Raw genomic sequence first — 20891 nt, 5'->3', positions numbered from 1 at the left:
CACTTAGCAAGACTGATCAAGAAAGAATGAGAGAAAAGACATATTATTAATATCAGGAGAGAGAGCATATCACTACACATTCCAGAGATATTTTAAATATCTTTATATTAATATATTCTGCACCATAGATGAAATGAAAAAATTTATTGAAAAAAAAATAACTTACCAAAACTGACACAAGAATAGAAAATTTTAATAACCCTATAGCTAATAAATAGATTGAATTTGTAATTAAAAATCCTCTTGTGAAGTAAACTCCAGGCTATAAATTCTATCAAACTGTTAAGGAAGGTCTAACACCAATCTTATACAAAATCTTGAAGAAAATAGAGAAGGAAAAAAATCTTTTCAATTCATTTTATGAAGACAGCCTATGTCTGATAACCCATAAAGACTTTTCATCAAAGTACCAACCAATATCCCTCATGAACATAGATTAAAAAATTCTTATGCAAAATAGGAGCCACTGAAATCTAGCATTAGATAAAAAAGATAATAAATCATGAACACTTGGTATGAATCTTGGGAATACAAAGTTGGTTTAACATTTGAAAATCCATCAACATATTTAACAGAAAAATAACTGAAGAAAAAAATTAACAGAGGCAGAACAAGCATTTTTGGGGGACAAAATTCAGTACCCATTTATGATAAAAGCTTTTAGCAAACTGGGAATAAAAGGGAACTTCCTCAATCTGATAAAGTTTCCATGGATAACAAAGCTCTGCAGAAAACATCACACTTGATGGTGAAAGACTGAATGCTTCCCCCCTGAGATCACACAGAATGACGCCTTCTCTCATCCCTTCTATTTAAACCTTCGCTAGAGATCCGAGCCAATGCAATCAGGCAAACAGAGCAAAAAAATATGTGAAGATTAGAATGAAAAAAGTAAAACTGTCTTTTTTTCAAAAAAGAAGCATACTTAGAAAATCCTGAAAAATCTACTGGAGCTAATAGGTGAATTTAGCAAGGTTTTTTGATATAAGGTAAATATTTAAAAATAAATTATATTTCTGTATACCAGCAACAAGAAATGGAAATCAAATTAGAAGATATGTCATTTACCCATATCGGAGAACATAAATTATGTAGACACAAATTTAACAAAAGATGCAGAAAATCTGAATACTGAAAACAAACCACCGTGGAGAGAAACTTTTTAAAAACCAAAATAAATGAGAGATATACCATGTTCATATTGGAAGATTCAATATTTCTAAGATGTCAGCTTTCTTTGATCTATAGATTCAATGTAATCTCCATAAAAATCACAACGGTTTTTTAAGAATCAGACAAGCTGATTCTAAAATTTAGATGAAAATGCAAAGGATCTAGAATAATCCAAAATAATCTTGAAACAGAAGAACAAAATTGGAGGGTGTCATATGCTGAATAATGAGCCCCAAAATATCCAGGTCCTAAACCCTAGAACTGTGATTGTTACCTTACATGGAAATAGAGACTTTGTAGATGTGATTAAGTTATGGACTTTGAAATGGGGGAAAGATCCCACATTATCTGGGTGGACCTTAAGTGCAGCCACAAGTGTGCTTAAAAGATGGGGGAAGAGAGAGATTTGCACAGAAGAAGGCAAGATGGCCACTGGCGCAGGGTGCCATGCTGCTGGGAGGGACGGCTTCAAGATGGCTGACTAGAGGCATTTCAGACTTGCCTCTGACACTGAGAAGAGGCAAAATAGTGAGTAGATAATCACACGTTGAATAGATCATCCAAGAGGGAACACTGGAATTCAACAGAAAAGTGACAGGAAATACCTAAGGCAAGGAAGGACAAGGAAGCAAGGCAGCCTGCTAGGCTGAGAGCTGAGAGAGACTCCCCAGTGTGGGGAAAGGTAAGTGAGAGATCCCCAGTGGTCGACATTCCCACTCTGGACTCCTGAAATCCAAGGCACAGGAGAGCCCCTCACCCTTTGTGGGCCCTGAAACTAACTGATGGGAGATTGTGCAATGGCACTGCTCGGAGGGTGCTCACTCTAGGTCTCACACTCTCTGAGACCTGAGCAGCCACACTAAGGAGGCAATTTATTTATATTTTAATTTTTAATTTCAATAGGGCTTTGGGGAGCAGGTGGTGTTTGGTTACGTGATAAAGTTCTTCAGTGGTGATTTCTGAGATTTTGGCACTCCCATCACCTGAGCAGTGTACACAGTACCTGATGTGTAGTTTTTTATCTCTCATCCCCTCCCACCCTTTCCCCTGAGTCCCCAAAATCCATTGTATTATTCTTATGCCTTTGCATTCTCATAGCTTAACTCCCAATTATAATTTGGAACATATGATGTTTAGTTTTCCATTCCTGAGTTACTTCACTTACAATAATGGTCTCCAATTCATCCAGGTTGCTGCAGATGCCATTATTTTATTCCTTTATATGGCTGAGTAGTATTCTATGGTGTATATATACCACAATTTTTTTAATCCAATTATTGATTGATGCACATTTGGGATGGTTCCATATTTTTGCAATTAGGAATTGTGCTGTTATAAACATGTGTGTGCAAGTATCTTTTTTGTATAATGACTTCTTTTCCTCTGGGTAGATAGCCAGTAGTGAGATTGCTGGATCAAATGGTAACCTACTTTTAGTTCTTTAAGAAATCTGCAAGGAGCCATTTTACAGCCCTGTCCCCAACAGACTGTGTACTGTCCGGGAGCCCAGTGGTGCTGGGGCTGAGGTGCAAGAGAAATGTGGGCTGCTACCCCTGGGGCTGAGGTGTGAGTGAGGCATAGGCTACCACCTTAAAGGCTAAGGTGTGAGTGGCATATGTTCCCCACCCACCAGCCTAATCTGTTGCCACTGAAGGTGGCCCACCCTCCCCAGTGGCAGGGCAGCAGTGTGGCCACTGATGTCCCCAGCCTGAGCATTCCATTGCTGGCCTGGGGATCACTTCACTCCTGCCTACCATGGCTGGTACCTGTACACACCATTGAGGGGCCTGAATACAAGCCCACCTGACCTGGCTTCATGTCCCCTGGCCCCTGTGCCAGAGCATGTGGACTAGGGCTGAGGGACTGCCCAGCTCAGTGGTTCAGTCCACCATCAGTGGTACCTGACCACTTCTCCTGAGGGCCTAAGGTTGGGCCTACCGACTCTGCTGTTACCACTACAGCTGGTACCTACTTGCACATGTCACCCGTGGCCCTGTGCACAAGCCCAACCAGCCCATTGCAGCCACTGCCAATACCAGCATGCACTGCTCAGGACCTACAAGGTTTTCCTGCCACTTCCACTGCCATTACCCACACCATGCCAGCTGCCTAGGGACCTGAGAACCCAGCCACCTACCTGGCCCACTGATGCCACTACCAACATCCAAGTAAGCCTCCTGGAAGCCCAAGAATAGGCCTGTCTGGACCCTCTAACACTGGTGCCAGTGTATACCACCCTGGGGTCCAAGGAGAGGCATGCCTGCTGCCACCACTGGGGCCCAAAGACTGGCCCACCTGGCATCCCTGTTCCCAGCAAAACTTCCCCACAAGCTCCACTAACAACTGCACCCTAAATTACTGAGGAAATCACAGATGCCACTGACATTGTTTATAGCCAAAGAAATAATACAGATTACACTACTGCATCTACATAGAATGAAAGCCAAAGTGCCCTACTGAACCAACACCACAGATGCCTCTTCAGGAGAAAGTTCTCCCCTGTGAAGGCAAATTCAAATACTGGAAGAAGTGACTGTTACACCAGATGCACAGATATCAATGTAAGGACACAGGAAACATGAAAAAGCAAGGACATATGATACTTCCAAAGGAAAACAATAATTCTCCAGCCATACAGCCTAATCAAGAACAAATTTATAAAATCCTGGAAAAATAATTAAAAATTCTGATACTAAAGGAGCTCAGTGAGATAGAAGAAAATTCTAAAAAAAATACAAAGAAATCAGAAAAACAATTCAGGATACAAATGATAAATTTACCAAAGAGATAGATATTAATATCATTTAAAAAAAACCAAATGGAAATTCTGGGACTGAAGAATTCATTGAGTGAAATATAAAATACATTCAAAAGCTTCAACAATAGGCTAGATCAAGCAGAATCATAATCTCAGAACTTGAAGACAAGTCTTATGAAAAAAACAGAGTTAGACAAAAATAAAGAAAAATGAAGAAAATAATGAGTAAATATTTTCTCGATGAGTGATATATGGGACACCATAAAGCAACCAAGTATTTAAATTACTGGAGTCCCAGAAGGTGAAGAGAGAATGAAAGGGTTAGGAAAACCTATTTAACAAAATAAGAGATGAAAACTTCCTACGTCTAGCAAGGTATTTAGACATCCAGATACAGGAGGCTCTGAGATCCCCAAACAGAGATAATGCAAGAAGGTCTTCTCCATGGCACATTATAGTCAAGTTGTCTAAAGTCAAAGAGAGAATTCTAAATACAGCAATAGAAAAGAATCTAGTCACCTAAGAGACCCCATTAGACTAACAGCAGATTCCTCAGCAGAAACCTTATGTCACTAATAGACTGGCCCTATAAGAACTGCTCAAGGGATCCTTAACCTGGAAGCAAAAAGAAAAGTGACATTTAACATCATGAAAACACACAAAAGTATAAAAATCACTGGTAAAGCAAACACTCAAATGAGGAAGAGAAAGGACTCAAATGGTACCACCACAGAAAACCACCAAACCACAATGATAAGCAGTAAGAGAGAAATAAAGGAACAAAGAATATATAAAAACAACCAGAAAATAATTAACAATAGGACAGGAACAAAACCTCACATATTAATAATTGCCTTGAATGTAAGTGTATTAAATTCTCCACTTAAAAGGTGTACACTGGCTGAATGGATTAAAAAAACATGATTCAATTATATGCTACCAATAAGAAACTCACTTTATCTGTAAAGACACACATAGACTGAAAGTAAAGCATTGCAAAAAGATATTCCATGCAAATAGTAGCCAAAAGCAAGCAGACATCGCTATACTTGTATCAGACAAAACAGACTTTAAGTCAAAAGCAGTAAAAAGACAAAGAAGAAATGATAAAGGGATCAATCCAACAAGAGAATATAACAATATCAATATATATGCACCCAACATTGGAGCACCCAGATTCATAAAGCAAATATTACTAGATCTAGAGAGAGAGATATATTCTAATACTATAATAGTATGGCACTTAAACATACCACTCTCAGCATTAGACAGATCATCTAGACAGAAACTCATCAAAAAAACATTGGATTTAAATGACTTGAGACCAAAAGGACCTTACAGACATTTACAAACCAAACCCAAAATCAGCAGAAGGAAAGAAACCACATAATAAATAAGGGTCAGAGCAGAAATAAAATGGAATACAGACTTAAAAAACAATACAAAGGATCAATTAAATGAAAAGTTGATTCTTCAAAAAGATAAACAAAATTGATAAATCACTAGCTAGAGTAACCAAGAAGAGAAAAGACCCAAATAACCAAAATTGGTAATGAAAAAGGAGACATTACAACTGATACCACCGAAATACAAAAGATCATCAGAGACTACTATGAAGAACTATATGTTAACAAACTGCAAAGCCTAGGAAAAAAAAACAGACAAATTCCCAGAAATATAAAACCTTACCCAAAGTTAATCAGGAATAAAAAGTAAACCTGAACAGATCAATAATGGATTCTAAAATTCATATGGAACCAAACAAGAGATTGAATAGCTAAAGCAATCCTGAGCAAAAAGAACAAAGCTGGAGGAATCACACTATCTGACTTCAAAATATACTACAAAGCTATAGTAACCAAAACAGCATGATATCAGTATAAAAATAGACACCTAGACTAATGGAACAAAATAGAGAACCCAGAAATAAATCCACATATTTACAGTCAACTGATTCTCAACAAAGGTGCTAAGAACCTACAGTGGAGAAAATACACCCTCTTCAATAAATGGTGCTGGGAAAATTGGATATCCATATGGAGAAGAATGGAACTAGACCCCCTATCTCTTACCACATACAAAAATCAACTCAAAATGGATTAAAGCCTTAAATTTAAGACCCCAAACTATAAACTACTAGAAGAAAACAGGGTAAGCACTTCAGGACATTGGTCTAGGCAAAGGTTTTATGGCTAAGACCTCGAAAACACAAACAACTAAAACAAAAATAGACAAATAGTACTATATTAAACTAAATGGCTTCTTCACTGCATAGGAAACAATTAGCAGAGTGAAGAGACCTGTTGAATGAGAGAAAATATTTGCAAAGTATTCATCCAACAAGGAACTAATATCCACAATTTACAAGAAATTCAAACAACTCAATAAAACTCAAATAATCTCAAAAGAAGGCAAAGGACATGAATAGACATTTTTCAAAAGAAGACATATGAATGGCCAACAGGTATATGAAAAATGCTCAACACCATGAATCATCAGGGAAATGCAAATCAAAACCACAATGAGATATCATATAACCCCAGTTGAACAGCTACTATCAGAAAACCAAAAAATAACAGATGCTGGTGAGGACGCAGAGAAAAGAAAAACTCTTATACGCTGTTGGCTGTAATGTAAATTAGTACAGCCTCTGTGGAAAATAGTATGGCGATTTCTCAAACAACTAAAAATAGAACTACCATACAATCCAGCAATCCCACTAGTGGGTATTTATACAAAGGAAAAGAACCCAGGTATTAAAGGGATACCTGGATTCCCTTATCTATTGCAGCACTATTCAAAATAGCAAAGATAAGGAACCAACCTAAGTGTCCATCAATGGAGAAATGGATAAAGAAAGGTCCATATACACAATGGAATACTACTTGGCTGTAAAAGAGAATGAAATCATGTCATTTGCAGCAACATGGATGAAACTGTAAGTCATTACATTAAATGAAATAAACCAGGCAAAGAGAAACAAATACTGCATGCTCCCACTCATATGTGGGAGCTAAAAAACTTGATCTTATGAAGATAGAAAATAGCATGACAGATACTAGAAGCTAGGAAGGGTGTGAGAGTGGGAGGAAGAGAGGTTGGTGAATGGGTACAGACATACAGTTAGAAGAAATAAGTTCTAATGGTTAATAGCAGACTAGGGTGACGATAGTTAGCAAGAATATATGGTATATTTCAAAGTGGTTAGAAGCCAGGACTTGAAATGATACCAACACATAGAAAGGATAAATACTCAAAGTGATGGATACCCCAAATACCCTGACTTGATCATTCCACATTCTACACATGTAAAAACTACTCACCTGTACCCCATAAATACGTAAAATATTATGTATTGATAAAAGAAATGTGAGCTAAGAAATGCAGCTCTAGAGACTGGAAAAGATAAGAAAATGGATTTTCTTCTAGAGCCTTCAGAGGCAGCATGATCCTGCTGACCCCTTGACTTTGGACCAGGGAAACTTACTTTGGACTTCTGGCCTCCAGAAAAATGTGTGTTGTTTTAAGATGCCACATTCATGGTATCTTACAGCAATCACAGGAAACTAATACAAAACGCTCACGCAACCTGATTTCAAGTCTTACTCTAAAGCTACAATAATCAGTGGGGTTTGGCACTGGCATAAGGATAGGCATATATATTAGTGGAACAAAATAGAGTCCTGAAATAAACCCACATCACTGATTTTTGATAAAGAAACCAAGATAATTCCATGGGGAAAGGAAAGTCTTTCCAACAAATGGTTCTGGAACAATGGGATAATATACAGGAAAAAAATGGACCTCGACCCCTACTTCACCCCATATACAAAAATTAATTTGACATAGATTATAGACCTGGAAGTAAAAGCTAAACTACAAACCTTCTAGAAGAAAAATAAAGAAAGATTGTCAAGATTGTGGTATAAGCAAATATTTCTTAAAGATGACATAAAAAGCAATAATCACACAATTTAAAAGTTAGACTTCATTAATATAAAAAAAGGAAGTCACAGACTGGGAGAAAATATTTGCAAATCATATATCTGAGAAAGAACTTGTATCGGGTAGGGGGAGGGGGGAGGGATAGCATTAGGAGATACACCTCATGTTAAATGACGAGTTAATGGGTGCAGCACAATATGGCACATGTGTACATATGTAACAAACCTGCACGTTGTGCACATGTACCCTAGAACTTAAAGAATAAAAAAAAAAGAACTTGTATCCAGAAGATATAAAGAAGTACATATCAGTACCAAAAAGGAAAACATTCTAATCATAAAATAGGCATAAAACTTGAATAGACACTTCACAGAAGAAGATATACCAACGGCCAATAAGCTCACGAAAGGTGCTAGACCTCATTAGTCATGAAGAAAATGTAAAGTAAAGCCACAGTCAAGTACAAGCTCACATCCACTGGAATAGCTAAAATCAGAAAGACCTACAGACAACAAATATTGGGGAGGAGGCCGGCGCAGTGGCTCACCCCTGTAATCCCAGCACTTTGGGAGGCCAAGGCAGGCGGATCACGAGGTCAGGAGATCGAGACCATCCTGGATAACATGGTGAAACCCTGTCTCTACTAAAAATACAAAAAATTAGCCAGGCGCGGTGGTGGGCGCCTGTAGTCCCAGCTACTTTGGAGGCTGAGGCAGGAGAATGGCAAGAACCCGGGAGGCAGAGCTTGTAATGAGCCAAGATCGTGCCACTGCACTCCAGTCTGGGCGACAGAGCGAGACTCCATCTCAAAAAAAAAAAAAATAGTGGGGAGGAAATGGAGTGTACAGTCTCTTGGAGGAGCATACAGTCTCTTGGGGGACAGCCTGGTGATTTCTTATAAAATTAAACTTACACTCTATTATCCAGCAATTCCACTCCTGGTTTTGATCCAAGAGAAATGAAAACATGTGTCTCCAAAAAGACTTAAGACTGTTTACAGCAGTGTTATTCATCATAGCCCAAAGTTGGAAACCATCCAAATGCCTATCAAGAGCTGAGTGGATAAACAAATTGCAGTAAAGCCATACAATGGAATACTACTCAGCAACAGAAAGAACAAACTCCTGATACACACAACCGCATGGATGGATCTCAAAGGCATGATGTTTAGTGCGAGAAGCCAATTAGAGACCATATTGCGTGACTCTGTGCGGTTGAGAAGTTCAAGAACAGGAAACAGTAGGCTCTGGTGCTGGAAGTCAGAGTGCTGGTGCTGACACGGATGGGAAGCGACTGGAAGGGCGTCTGGCGGAACTTCCAGTATGACAGGAACATTCTGTGTCTTGAGGCAGGTGCTGCTTGCACAGTTGTATGCATTTGTCAAAAGTCATTGTTTTGAACACTAGCGATCCGGGCATTTCACTGTAAGTAAACTTTACCTATGATGGAACACTACTCAGCCATAAAAAGGGATGAATTAACAGCATTTGCAGTGACCTGGAGGAGACGGGAGACTATTATTCTAAGTGAAGTAACTCAGGAATGGGAAACCCAACATCGTATGTTCTCACTGATATGTGAGAGCTAAGCTGTCAGGATGCAAAGGCGTAAGAATGACACAATGGACTTTGGGGACTTGGGGGAGAGTGGGAGGTGGGCGAGGGATAAAAGACACAAATAGGGTGCAGTGTATACTGTTCGGGTGATGGTGCGCCAGAAATCTCATAAATCACCACTAAAGAACTTACGTAACCAAATACCAACTGTACCCCGATAACTGATGGAAAAAATCTTTGTAAATAAACAAACAAAAACAGAAGCAGGTATGGGTGTCACAAGGAGGAAAGGGGCTGTCAACAGAATTGTTTCACTGGGAGATGGCAGGGCCATGTCATTCCAGGTGGGGTGAGGAGTGGGTGTCAGGGGTACAGGGAGGAATTTGGAGCCTAGAGTGCCACTCCCTGAGCACAGTTCCGTGGGTGGGGCGTGGGGGAAGGTGATCGGTGGGACCACACAGCAGAGGAGAGAAGGCAGGTGTCTCAGACATGCTGTGTCAGTCACCGTGCCAGACTTCCAGGTGGGAGCAATTTGGAAGCTCAGGCCTGAGCCTCTGGAGGCTGGGCCCTGCTGAAAATCTGAGGATTCTTCCTTTGGCGGACCAAGGAGGACCCCAAAGCTGCATGGAGGACCAAGGCAGCTGAATTGATGGCTTGGGCAAAGTGCAGGGGAGGGGCCTGCTGAGGACACTGCGGGCTGGAAGGGAGGGTGGCAAGGTCCTCTCATGGAGAAGGCCCTCCAGAGGGGAGGGTCAGTACTTGGGGCAGGGTCAGCAGAGGACAGGAGAGGTACCTGGGGGCACCTAGAGGGCTACCTGGCGACCAGCACAAAGTCATGAGGAGCGGCAGGTGCTGGGGAGCAAGAAAAGGAGGAAAAGGAGGAGAGGCTCATTTGTTTTGTTTGCAGTTTAGGACTGGGGAGACCTGGGTATGTTACAGATCCAGGAGAAGTCCACAGAAAGAGGCAATGATCAGCTACTATATGGAATGCCTCTATTTGACCCTCGGACCATCCACCCTGGAGTAGCTGATGATGTTGCTCTCATGATTTAATCATGTTGGACTGCATTTGGAACTGGGCTGTGTAATTAGTATGCACATCCTAGTCGCTCATTCTTTTTTTGTTGTTGTTGTTTTGAGAAGGAGTCTCGCTCTGTTGCCAAGGCTGGAGTGCAGAGCTGTGATCTCTGTTCACTGCAACCTCTGCCTCCTGGGTTCAAGCAATTCTCCTGCTTCAGTCTCCCAAGTAGCTGGGATTACAGGCATGCACCACCATGCCCGGCTAATTTTTGTATTTTTAGTAGAAACGGGGTTTCACCATGTTGGTCAAGCTGGACTTGAACTCCTGACCTCAATTGATCTGGCCACCTCGGCCTCCCAAAGAGTTGGGATTAAAGGTGTGAGCCACCTCACCTGGCCACTCACTCTCATTTACCAAATAATCAAGCAATCAAGCCCCTGTAAAGTGAAATTCCCACAAATTATTTTTAATGACATCCTTCCATGTTTTCCTACACCTTTTCAATAAGTGGATTTCTTTTAACTCCCTGAACAGAGAAGCCCGTGGCACAGGAGGGAGCGGCCAGCCGTGCTCACTGTCCTGCTGACCCAGGCCCGGCAGGCAGGTCATCGGGTGCTGGCCTGTCCGTAGGGGGCAGCAGTGGCAGCACTGATCCCTGGAAATCTTGTTCAGGCCACCAGTGGCTCCAGACCCCAACTCCCTCTTTCGGGGAGCAACCTGCACAGCCTGGCGTGTTAAGTTGTGTCCTCACCTGTCATTGGCGACGGGCAGGGCGATCTCAAACTTGGCCAGGAACTGGAAGTACTGCTCTTCCGTCTGCTGCGTGAAGCCAGTCCCCACCAGCAGCATCCTGAGGTCTTCTGCTCTGATCACCCCATTCTTGGCCACTGACCGAGAGCCCTTAATATTAAAGATCCTCTGCAGACATTCGGAGAGCCAAATAGGGTCGAGGAAGTAGAGGTTCCTCAGGCCGTGGCTGGTGTCCGGGAAATGGAGCAGGGTGCCGGTTTCTATGAGGAAGCTGATGGCTGCCCCAGGCAAGGAGAGGAGGAAGCAGCAGTTAGACAAAGGAGCGAAAGGGACTCTGGGGTGGCCCTCTTTCCAAGAGGACCCAGGTCACAAATTATTCCTGAGAAGAAACCAACATGTCCCACATGCTGGACCCTTCAGGTGGGCTGGCAGCCTGATCACAGGTGCCCTGGTGGCCCCTGGTAACTCTTGCCAAAGTCCTAGGCTGATGGCCGCCTGGGTAACTACACTTGATCCTCATTATTTGTGGATTTTGCCTTTGCAAATTCACCTTCTTGCTAAGATTGATCTGCAACCTCCAAATCAGCACTCCTGCGGTTATTTGCAGACATGTGCTGAGTGGTGAAAAATTTGCATTGACCAATGTGCACGTTGCCAGCGGAGGCTGAACAGGACAACTCTCTCAGCTCTCATGCTGAAAACAGCTGCCTGCTTAGTGGTCTATGTCAGTGCCACGTTTTTTGAATTTTTGTGCTTTTTGTTGACGCTTTCACTGTTCAAAATGGTCCCTAGTGAAGTGCTGAAACGCTGTGTAGTTCCCTAAGCGTGAGAAGGCTGCGATGTGCCTTATGGAGGAAACCTGTGTGTTAGATAAGCTTTGTTCATGAATGAGCAATAGTGCTGTCAGCCGTGAGTTCAATGCCAACAAATCAACAACATATATTAAGTATGGCATCTTTACGCAGCAACACACATAAAACAAGGTTCTGTACTGACGGGCTGGTGAGTATGTGGTGACCAGAGGCTCGCAGGAGCCCAACGCTGCGTCTCTCCTAGGAGCACTGGTTCCGTATTTGCTATTTCAGTGATCGCGGTGACTTTACAGAACGTTAAGTCCTGTGGCTAATGAGAATCGATTGTAACTGTTTGACCTCTGTCTCCCTGACTGAATATCAGCCCCGGAGGGCAGGCGCCAGTCCATCAGCTTGTATGTCTGTCCTCGTGGCAAACACAATGCTGGTGTAGAGTAGCTGTTTGTGTTCTCTCCCTCCAAGGAAAGAAGGGTGAGAGGGAAGAAGGAAGGGGAGGGGGATGGAAGGCAGAAACGCAGGCTGGGTGTCGGTCTCTCATTCATTACTGAGGCCAAGCTGAAGTTAGCAAGTACAGACAGTTCCATTTCTCACGGGCACCCTGCCACCTACCCCAGCCCCACCCACCTGACTGCAGGTCCTCGTAGTCCTTGATGTCGTTGTCGGGCGTCTGCTCCACCAGCTGCTCCAGCTGCCTGTCCGTCAGGTACTGCACGTCGTCGTCCCGGCTGCGGCGCTGCTGCTCTGCCAGCACGGCCTCCTGCAGGCTCAGGTAGCTCCTGGGGATCTGGGGGACAGTTGGGCGAGGCAGGGTCTCTCAGGTCCCAAGGCACACCTGCCAGCTTGGGCAGATCCTGCCCGGCCCCTGTGGCCTGAGGGGGTGGGACGTTTCCACCCACTATCTTCCATCCTGACCCTCCCTCACCAGGAACCACCGAGCCTTGCCACACAGACATGGGCTTCACAGGAGAGAGGGGGAAGTGAGGACCCCCAACAATGGGAAGCAGGCAGACTGGTTTAAACTGGACCAGCAAGGTACCCACCAGCCGCCCTGCCAGTCGCTGGCAGCCGATGGTGCTGCCCACGTCCTTCATGCTGCACGTGACGTGGAAAATCAGCTGTCGCAGCCCTTCCTGACCTTCCAGGCTCTTGCAGGAAATCTCACTGTGAGCAAAAAGACCCGTCTTTACTCATCATGCCCCACTCCGAGGAAGCGCTGCTGCTTCTCTGTTTCCCTGAGAGGTTTGTCCTGAACGCTGGCAAGTCTGGAGAACTCGTGAAAGACAACACAAGAAGTTTATTGAGGCCTTGCTTTGTGCAAATCACTGTGCTGGGTGCCCCACACTGTGTCGCTTTAGTCTGTCTTCCCAGACTAAACATGGCACTTCACGGAGGAGGAAAGTGAGGTGCAGAGGTACACCGAGACCCCCAAGGGTACAGGCTGGGCAGGCACAGGCTCACACAGGCTGGACTTGGGTTCTGACCCAGAGCCAGGACTCCTCTTATCACAGACCCCATGGGACTTTCTCAAGGGCAAAGCAGGAATTCCTGACAGCCTCATCCTGTATTCCGAGCCAGGCCAATGTGTCCCAGGCTGACCCATGCACCAATACCCGTGGCGCTCTGCCCCGGGCGAGGGAATCTGAGAGCCATCAGTGCAGATAATGCAATATGCAGTGTATTTTACTCCCATTAGGGCACACTTAATTTGCTGAACCTCATCTTCTTCACCTACAAAGTGGCAAACAATCCCCACAACCTGCAGGGCTGTTGTGAAAGTCCAGTGACAGGCAGTCAGCCCAGGGCAATTGGACTTATCTGTATGGACACGTCGTGATGCCTAACTGAAAGCCCCTCCAAACTCTTGGCCCTCTGTGACTCAAAGGCTGCTATCAGGACCACTCAGACCCAATGGAAGGACTGGCCCTCCCTCCCCAGGGTCTGTCCTTGATCAGTGATCAACAAATGAGATGGGCAGCAATTGGTTGGGTGGTGCCCACGTTCAGTCTCCTGGTTCAATAGGCACCATGCATTTTCAGCACTGGCCCTTGGGGCGGGGATGGGGCAGAAAGGAAGCAAAGAGGGGCACCTCCAGGCCTCAACCAGCCAGCCGTCTGGTAGGTCTTCACCCTCCCCAAGGCTGGGTCAGCTCTGTGGATGGCCACCCTTGGCCAGGAAAGGGGCCTAGCCCCACCCAGACTCAGGAGCTCTCTGCAAGCTGATCCCAGGAAAGATCAGCGACTGGCACCCACAAGAAGGCAGGAGCTGCCCGAGGCTGGGCACTCACTGTAAGTGTTTGAAGGTGATGTCTGGGAAGCCTGTGGCCCTGGAGCCGGAGGGGGAGCGGCAGAGTGCCAGCACATAGGCACGCAGCGTTGCAATCCTTTCCACACGGAACTTGGCTTCAATTAAATCCAGGTGCGTCCCGACCACCAGCACCACGGCGTTTGGGGCCTTGGCCTGCAACAGAGAACCCCACGGCTGAGTACTGTCTCTGTTCATGGAACAAGGGACAGGACAGAGCTCCCAGCTGTGCAGGTGCGCTGACCCTGGATGCCACGGCCCTTGCTCAGCCACCAATCTGCAGCCTTGAGACGGTTTGGATGTTTGCCTCCTCCAAATCTTATGTTGAAATGTGATCCCCAGTGTTGGAGGTGAGGCCTGACGGGAGGTTGGGTCATGGGGCCAGATCCCTCATGAATGGCTTGGCACCTTCCTGCAGTAATGGGTGCGTTCACCCTATGTCAGTTCACAGAGGAGCTGATTGTGGAAAGGAGGCTGGCTCCTCTTCCTGTCTCTCCTGCTCCCTCTCTCACTATGTGACATGCTGGCTCCCCTTCCCTTCTGCCATGACTAAAAGCTTCCTGAGGCCTAACCAAAAGCCAACAGATGCTGAAGCCATGCTTGTATAGTCTGCGGAATTGTGAGCCAAATGAACCTCTTTTCTTCATAAATTACCCAGTCTCATTCCTTTCTAGTAATGCAAAACAGACTGCGCTACAGGATGTCAGCCCAGGCAGCACCTGTGCTCCTCATTCTCCGTGAACCTGAGGGACTGTTGCATTGAGGGGTGTCTATGGTGTTCTGTGACCTCCTCCACGGAGGGTGCTGAGTTGGACTTGTGGGGAGGGATTTCTGACCCTTCAGACATGACAGCAGCCATCAGAGGCAGGGAGACAAGGACATCTTTATAACAGGAAGGGAACCCTGCTCTGCTTTTGGATCCAAGGGTGGGGGTTCCTAAATTTAAGGGAAGCGGGGAAATTACATCACCAGCCCTCAGCAGAGGAAGGTTTCAAGTGCCTCACTGTGAAAAGCAAGCAGGACCACGGTTCTGGGGCCCTCTGTGGCAACATAACCCCCTTTTTTTCTCAGTACAGGGGATGCTTGAGGGAAGCGGTGGGACCTGCAAAGCTCTGGGCACTGAAATGGCAGGGCTGGCGTCTGGTGTCCTCACCTCGATGTTGAGCAGCCAGAACTGGAGGTTGGCCACGGCCTCCTCCCCCAGCGCCAGGTTCCAGACCACCACGTACAGGGCCTTGTCCGTGAAGAAGCACTGGTTGACAGTGGCCATGCTGGCCGGTCCCCCGATGTCCCAGACGTTGAACTCCACGGACTCAACCTACTTGAGCAACAAGGCAGCGACAGGGAGGCATTTTAGAGACAAAGGCTTCAGTCAATCAAACGGAGACAACGGATAACTCTGGAGGCTGGACTCGGGGGTCTGAAAAAACAACCGTGGAAAAGTTCTGGACACTCTATTGTTTCTTAGGAAACAGTTATCTGGGCGAGGGACAGGGGCCCGGTGGCATGGGGGTGGGCTTCTGGGACTTCTGTCTACTCCTAGCAGAGCAGAGACCAGGCCCTGGACAGACTTCAGAGGGCCTGGCTCTGTCTGGGCTGCAGATGGGTAGGGGATGCCCTGTGGGAGGAAGCTGTGCTCTGATGTCACGGCTTGCACTGGGGTTCAGCCTCCCTGTGTGCCAGGGCAAGAGGAGGAGATGGGCCTCTGAACTTGTGGGGCTCAGAGGGTGGCGCCCACCAAGGATGCTGGGAAACTCCCTCCCACCCTGTGGGAATCAAACAAAAGATGAGCTGTTGGGCTGCCGGGAACGGCTGTGTAAACGGTGGTTTCTCTATCATTGCATGAGGTAAGAGTCTGGCCCTGGATGCTAAGGCTGCAGTTTTCTACAGAAAGGAGTCATCTCTGTGAGGCAGCATCAGCCTCCAAGACACAGTGTGCTGACCTGGTTTTGTATAAAGATGAAAACAGCTGTTCTCAACTGGCTGAGGCCGGCCACAGAGAGAGCGGCGGGCTCAGCCTTCACAGGATTGTCCTTCCACTAAAGGGTAGGGGGTTTTAATCATCGCAGAAAGGAAGTGGGGGTGAAGGTCAGGAAAAATAGAAGCACGAATTCACCCCTCAGGCCTCAGCTAGAGGAAGCTAAGAGAAGAAATGAGATTGCATAACTGTTAAGAAAAAGGCAAAGCTGGAGAGAATGCAGAGGATTCTGGTTCCTGGAGAGAACCTTCAGACTCGAGTCAGCTAGATTTGCTCCTGGAATGTTCTAGGATTGGCCTAGCGTTGATTGTCGTGTTTGATTGTTCTGGCCCCAACAGGCAGCGCTTCACCCCTTGGAGGACCAGCTTCCAAGTTCGTGTTAGAACAGATGCACAGCTTCAATGCCTACTTTTTCAAAGCAGGTTTGGAAAGTGGTTGTGTGTGGAAGAAGCTGCAGTGTTTGGTTGGCACTGTGCGTGGGAGCTTTGGGGGAAAATCATGGACCATCTGGATCTCAAGCCTCCTCAGTTTTCCACAGTGAAGCAGCCTCTTGCCCCTTGGATCCCGAGGAATCACAGGGTGGCAGAAATCCAAATACAGTTGATGAGGATGGCCTTATCTATGTGTGTTCGTTCCCCGAGCTCAGAGAAAGGGCTAACTGCCCCTGCTCTATTCCAGGGATGGAGTTCCCACCAACAGTCCATGGCTCTTTTCTCTGTTACATGAACAGGAAAATGTTCATTTCCATTTGCCTGGCACTGAATGGAAAGCAAGATGATTAAGAAGTTTATGGATGGACTCAAAAAATTTTTTTTGAATGGAGTCTTGCTCTGTCGCCAGGCTGGAGTGCAGTGGCATGATCTCGGCTCACTGCAACCTCCACCTCCCGGGTTCAAGCAGTGATGGATTCATTTTAAGTAGGGCTTAGAAACAGGACTTTTCAGAACCTGGGGTGAAAGCAGGTGTCAGGGACGGCAGGGTGTTAAGTCCCAGAGTGCTTTTAGCCTCCTCATCAGGGGGCAGATGCTGGTGTGTTTCACTGCCTGCAACAGTGGTTAGCTCTCAGCCCTGGGGGTGCCTTATCCCAGACCACTTGAACTTGAATCCTTGGGGTCAGAGAGCAGTGAGGTGAGGCCTGGGAATTGCTATCTTTAAAAGCCCCTCAAGGGAATCTAACAGACAGCCGGGGTTAAGAACCACTGTCCCAGAGCCTCAAGTAACTATAACAGAAACATACAGGGCAGGTGGATCATTTAAGCTGGGGAGGTTGAGGATGCATCCAGCCTGAGAGACACAGTGAAACCCTGTCTCAAGAAAAAAAAAAAAGAAAAGTAAAGAAAAAGAAAACATCACAAAGTCACATTAAGAAATGATTCGCTGCTCTTGGCAGAAGCTGGTATGGAATGGTACACAGTGGCTCCTGCAAAGGGCCTGAGCTTTGGACACCAGGCTGAGAAAATCCTGGGCTCTCTGGGGAGAAGGGAGAAGGAGTCCAAGGGATGTTCCTCCCACCCACAGGGACTCTGCACGCAGACCATCCTTGACCTTGGCTCTCGAGCCAGCCGGCCTCTGGAGCTCCCACTTGGTGGTCCTGATGGTGGCCTCTCCATGCACCACCTGGGGGGCCCTCCCCGTCTGTAAGATCTCCAGGAGGGTGGACTTGCCCTGGCGCGGGGGACCCACGATGATCATCTTCATCAGCTTGCACTTTTCCGCTTTCCGCAGCTGAGCACGCAGGTAAGACAGCATTGCTTTGGGGCCTGTGCAAAATCATTAAGGGGAAGGGTAGCTGCGTGGGCACATGCTCACATCTCTTAGGACACAAAATCCTGTTGTGAAGGAACTCCTTCTTTGTGTTTTAGTGGGGACAGTTAAGGAAGACTACTGGATCAGGGGGAGGGAAGGCATGACACTAACCACCCTAAAAGCGAACTCTAAGAGGCAAGAACCTATGGACAAAATCCTTGCTGCCCAGGAGGTCACAGTTGTATCACCTGGTCCTTCTCAGTATAGTGACCCTCAGTAACGATTGCTTTAGGGACAATTTTATAGCATCTTGTCAAATCTGGAACCTGGAGCTGGGCTCCATGGGTCACCAACTGTCTCCACCCCCAGAACTTAACAAGTGGACTGGAGTTGTCTTTCCAAGAGGTGATGGCAGGGGACAGGGCTGCGGAAGCCCTACCTTCTTTTTGGATTTCTGCAGGCACATTGCTGATGGTCAGGTCTTCAGTGTCCAGCTGCCAGAGGTTGCCCAGCTGCCCCAGCTCAGGAGGGAGCTCCCGGAGGCCAGGGTTGCTGAAGACAGATGTGTCCACCACGAGAGAATACACACACACACACACACACACACACACACACACACACGCACACACGTGGCTCCTGTCAGCCTCTGCAGCCTGTACCCCAGACCCCACACTTTGAGCCCTGATTTCAACACTAATTCCAAAGGCTTTCTCCTGGAGGATCAGTGATAGAAACGGCAGCTCTGTCTTCTGCAAATCCCCACGGCTTAGAATTGAGTCCCCTCCCCCAACTTTCCTGTCTCTGCTACTAAGTACATCCCCATAAAGATGATCACTACCTCTTCCCGAGAAGGCGATGTCCCTTTAATATTAATATAACATTTTACACTCTCATCAAGCTTTGCACACTGCCTAGAACCCCTGGCAGTAGCTGGCATGCAATGGGAGCTCAGTAATGAAAGGATGAATGATTGAGTGGTTCTCCTCATCACAGCCCAAGTGATGTAGTGAAAGTGTGTATCATTGCATTGCTACTCCGTCTTCCTCTCTCCCCACCTCCTTGATCAAGCCCTGTTCCGAAAATCTCACTACTGCTTCTTGGAAAGTAGATGGCTTCTTTCTGCCTGGCTTTCTGTGTCCCAGTTGGTTTAGGGATGGGCGTTCTGCCTCTCTGGGCCAGCAGAGCCAGCACGGCCCCTCCAGATGTGTACTTACTTTCCCAAGTAGAGCTCTGATAAGCTCTTCAGTAGGCAAACCGAGGGAGGGACTGTGTCGAGGTGGTTGTCGTTCAGGCAAAGGACTTCCAAAGACTCACTTAGGAAGGCCGGAAATTCCAGCACACTTGCTGCAAAGACATGGCAAAGCAGACTGCATTTAAAAATAATTCTGGACCGTCACAGCGTGGTGACCAGGTGGGCGTATAAACTGATGCAACCTCCAGAGGGCATTTTGGCAAGCCTATCAGAACAAAATGCTCACCTCATCGACCTAGCAATTCTCATTCTACAGATAGCTTTGCATGCATGTGTGGCAAAGATGTGAGAATGAGGACACTCAGTGGCAGAGATAGAGGACAATCTACAACAACCTATGTGTCCAGCCACAGGGGGTTGGTTCAATGAGTAATAGAATAATTGCAGCTATTACAAAGTATGGGGCAGGTCTACATATATGGGGGTATGAAGTAATACTCAAGAGCTACCCATCAATTGAAAAGGCAAGGTGCGCCAGGCTGGTGGCTCACGCCTGTAATCCTAGCACTTTGGGAGGCCGAGGTAGGGGGATCACAAGGTCAGGAGTTCAAGACCAGGCTGGCTAAGATGGTAAAACCCTGTCTCTACTAAAGATACAAAAATTAGCCAGGCGTGATGGTGGGCACCTGTAATCCCAGCTACTCGGGGGGGCTGAGGCAGGAGAATTACTTGAACCTGGGAGGTGGAGGTTGCAGTGAGTTGAGTTTGTGCCACTGCACTCCAGCCTGGGTGACAGAGCAAGACTCCATCTCAAAAAAAAAAAAAAAAAAAAAAAGTTCAGAACCGGATATCTAGAAGGCTTATTAGTGTAGCAGAAAATGTGTGCACACATGCATGCACACACACGCATACCATGTATATGTTATATGCACACACACCACACCTGCACATGTGTATGCACAGAGGTTACAGTTGTTAGACAGGAACACAATGGTTACCAGAGATGCACTGAACTCCATAGTTGTCTCTGGGGAAAGGAATTACTAGAGGACTGAATATTTATCCCATGCCCTTTGCTACTGTTCAAAAACGGTGTTTTAAAATATACATGCGTTGCTTTTTCCATGAAAAAAAGCTAGTTAATGAAAATATACCACAGTTGGCTGTTTTTATGCTTCTTACAATGCCATTCTTTGAAAAGCCAGCCAACTGTTTAGTATTTAAGTGACTTTATTAATTAGGCTCACTATGAGATTACCATGAAAATCATGTCAAATTTGCTGTTTCCACGGGCACCAGAGCATTTGAGTTGAGAAAGAGCTTGGAAACGCACACTGATGGGAATCAGAGGTTTGGATTTCAGCAGAATCTCTGAAGTGCCTTTATCCTCCCTACTAAGGCCTGGAGAGGGGGCAGGACAGCATGCCTGGGAGCTCGGAGAATTCAAGATTAAACAACTGCCTCAAAGCCCTCTCATAGGGTTCCCTGCCAGACATGGAAAATAGAGAAGCCGGAGTTCTTTTGTTGGGCTGAAACCAGGCTCGGTTGCCCTTGATCATAGCTACCCCGCCTCGGCTCTGGCTTTCCTCCACACATGTAGCTGCAATAACAATGGTAATGGGTAACCTGGCCTCTGAGAACATTCAGGGAGAGCCGATA

General features: G+C 46.0%; 1 protein-coding gene across 1 annotated transcript in view, besides 2 other annotated features; it reads right to left on the bottom strand.

Moving 5' to 3' along the window:
* The window catches only part of LRRK1 (leucine rich repeat kinase 1), a 158901-nt gene that overhangs the window by 37821 nt on the left and 100189 nt on the right, over positions 1-20891 (bottom strand). Inside the window, exons 13-20 of the mRNA NM_024652.6 lie at positions 19255-19384; positions 18480-18592; positions 17840-18054; positions 15470-15634; positions 14300-14472; positions 13056-13176; positions 12640-12799; positions 11205-11481 (exon numbers count right to left, since the gene is read on the bottom strand). Of these exons, the coding sequence (NP_078928.3) occupies positions 11205-11481; positions 12640-12799; positions 13056-13176; positions 14300-14472; positions 15470-15634; positions 17840-18054; positions 18480-18592; positions 19255-19384 (1354 nt within the window). The remainder of the gene's footprint in view (positions 1-11204; positions 11482-12639; positions 12800-13055; positions 13177-14299; positions 14473-15469; positions 15635-17839; positions 18055-18479; positions 18593-19254; positions 19385-20891) is intronic.
* Positions 11133-11685: an enhancer, noted in NCBI's record as "H3K4me1 hESC enhancer chr15:101568957-101569509 (GRCh37/hg19 assembly coordinates)". NCBI's record gives its function as "activates a minimal SCP1, AML or CMV promoter by ChIP-STARR-seq in primed H9 embryonic stem cells {active_cell/tissue: H9 hESC(primed)}" and the evidence as "EXISTENCE:reporter gene assay evidence [ECO:0000049][PMID:30033119]".
* Positions 12130-13329: an enhancer, noted in NCBI's record as "CDK7 strongly-dependent group 2 enhancer chr15:101567313-101568512 (GRCh37/hg19 assembly coordinates)". NCBI's record gives its function as "activates an origin of replication core promoter dependent on BRD2, BRD4, P300/CBP, MED14 and CDK7 cofactors, with strong dependence on CDK7, by STARR-seq in HCT116 cells {active_cell/tissue: HCT116}" and the evidence as "EXISTENCE:reporter gene assay evidence [ECO:0000049][PMID:35650434]".

The sequence above is a fragment of the Homo sapiens genome, chromosome 15 (assembly GCF_000001405.40).
Source record: "Homo sapiens chromosome 15, GRCh38.p14 Primary Assembly".
Taxonomy (NCBI): domain Eukaryota; kingdom Metazoa; phylum Chordata; class Mammalia; order Primates; family Hominidae; genus Homo; species Homo sapiens.
Note: the sequence above shows the minus strand (reverse complement) of the source record. Positions and strands in the feature narration are given on the sequence as shown.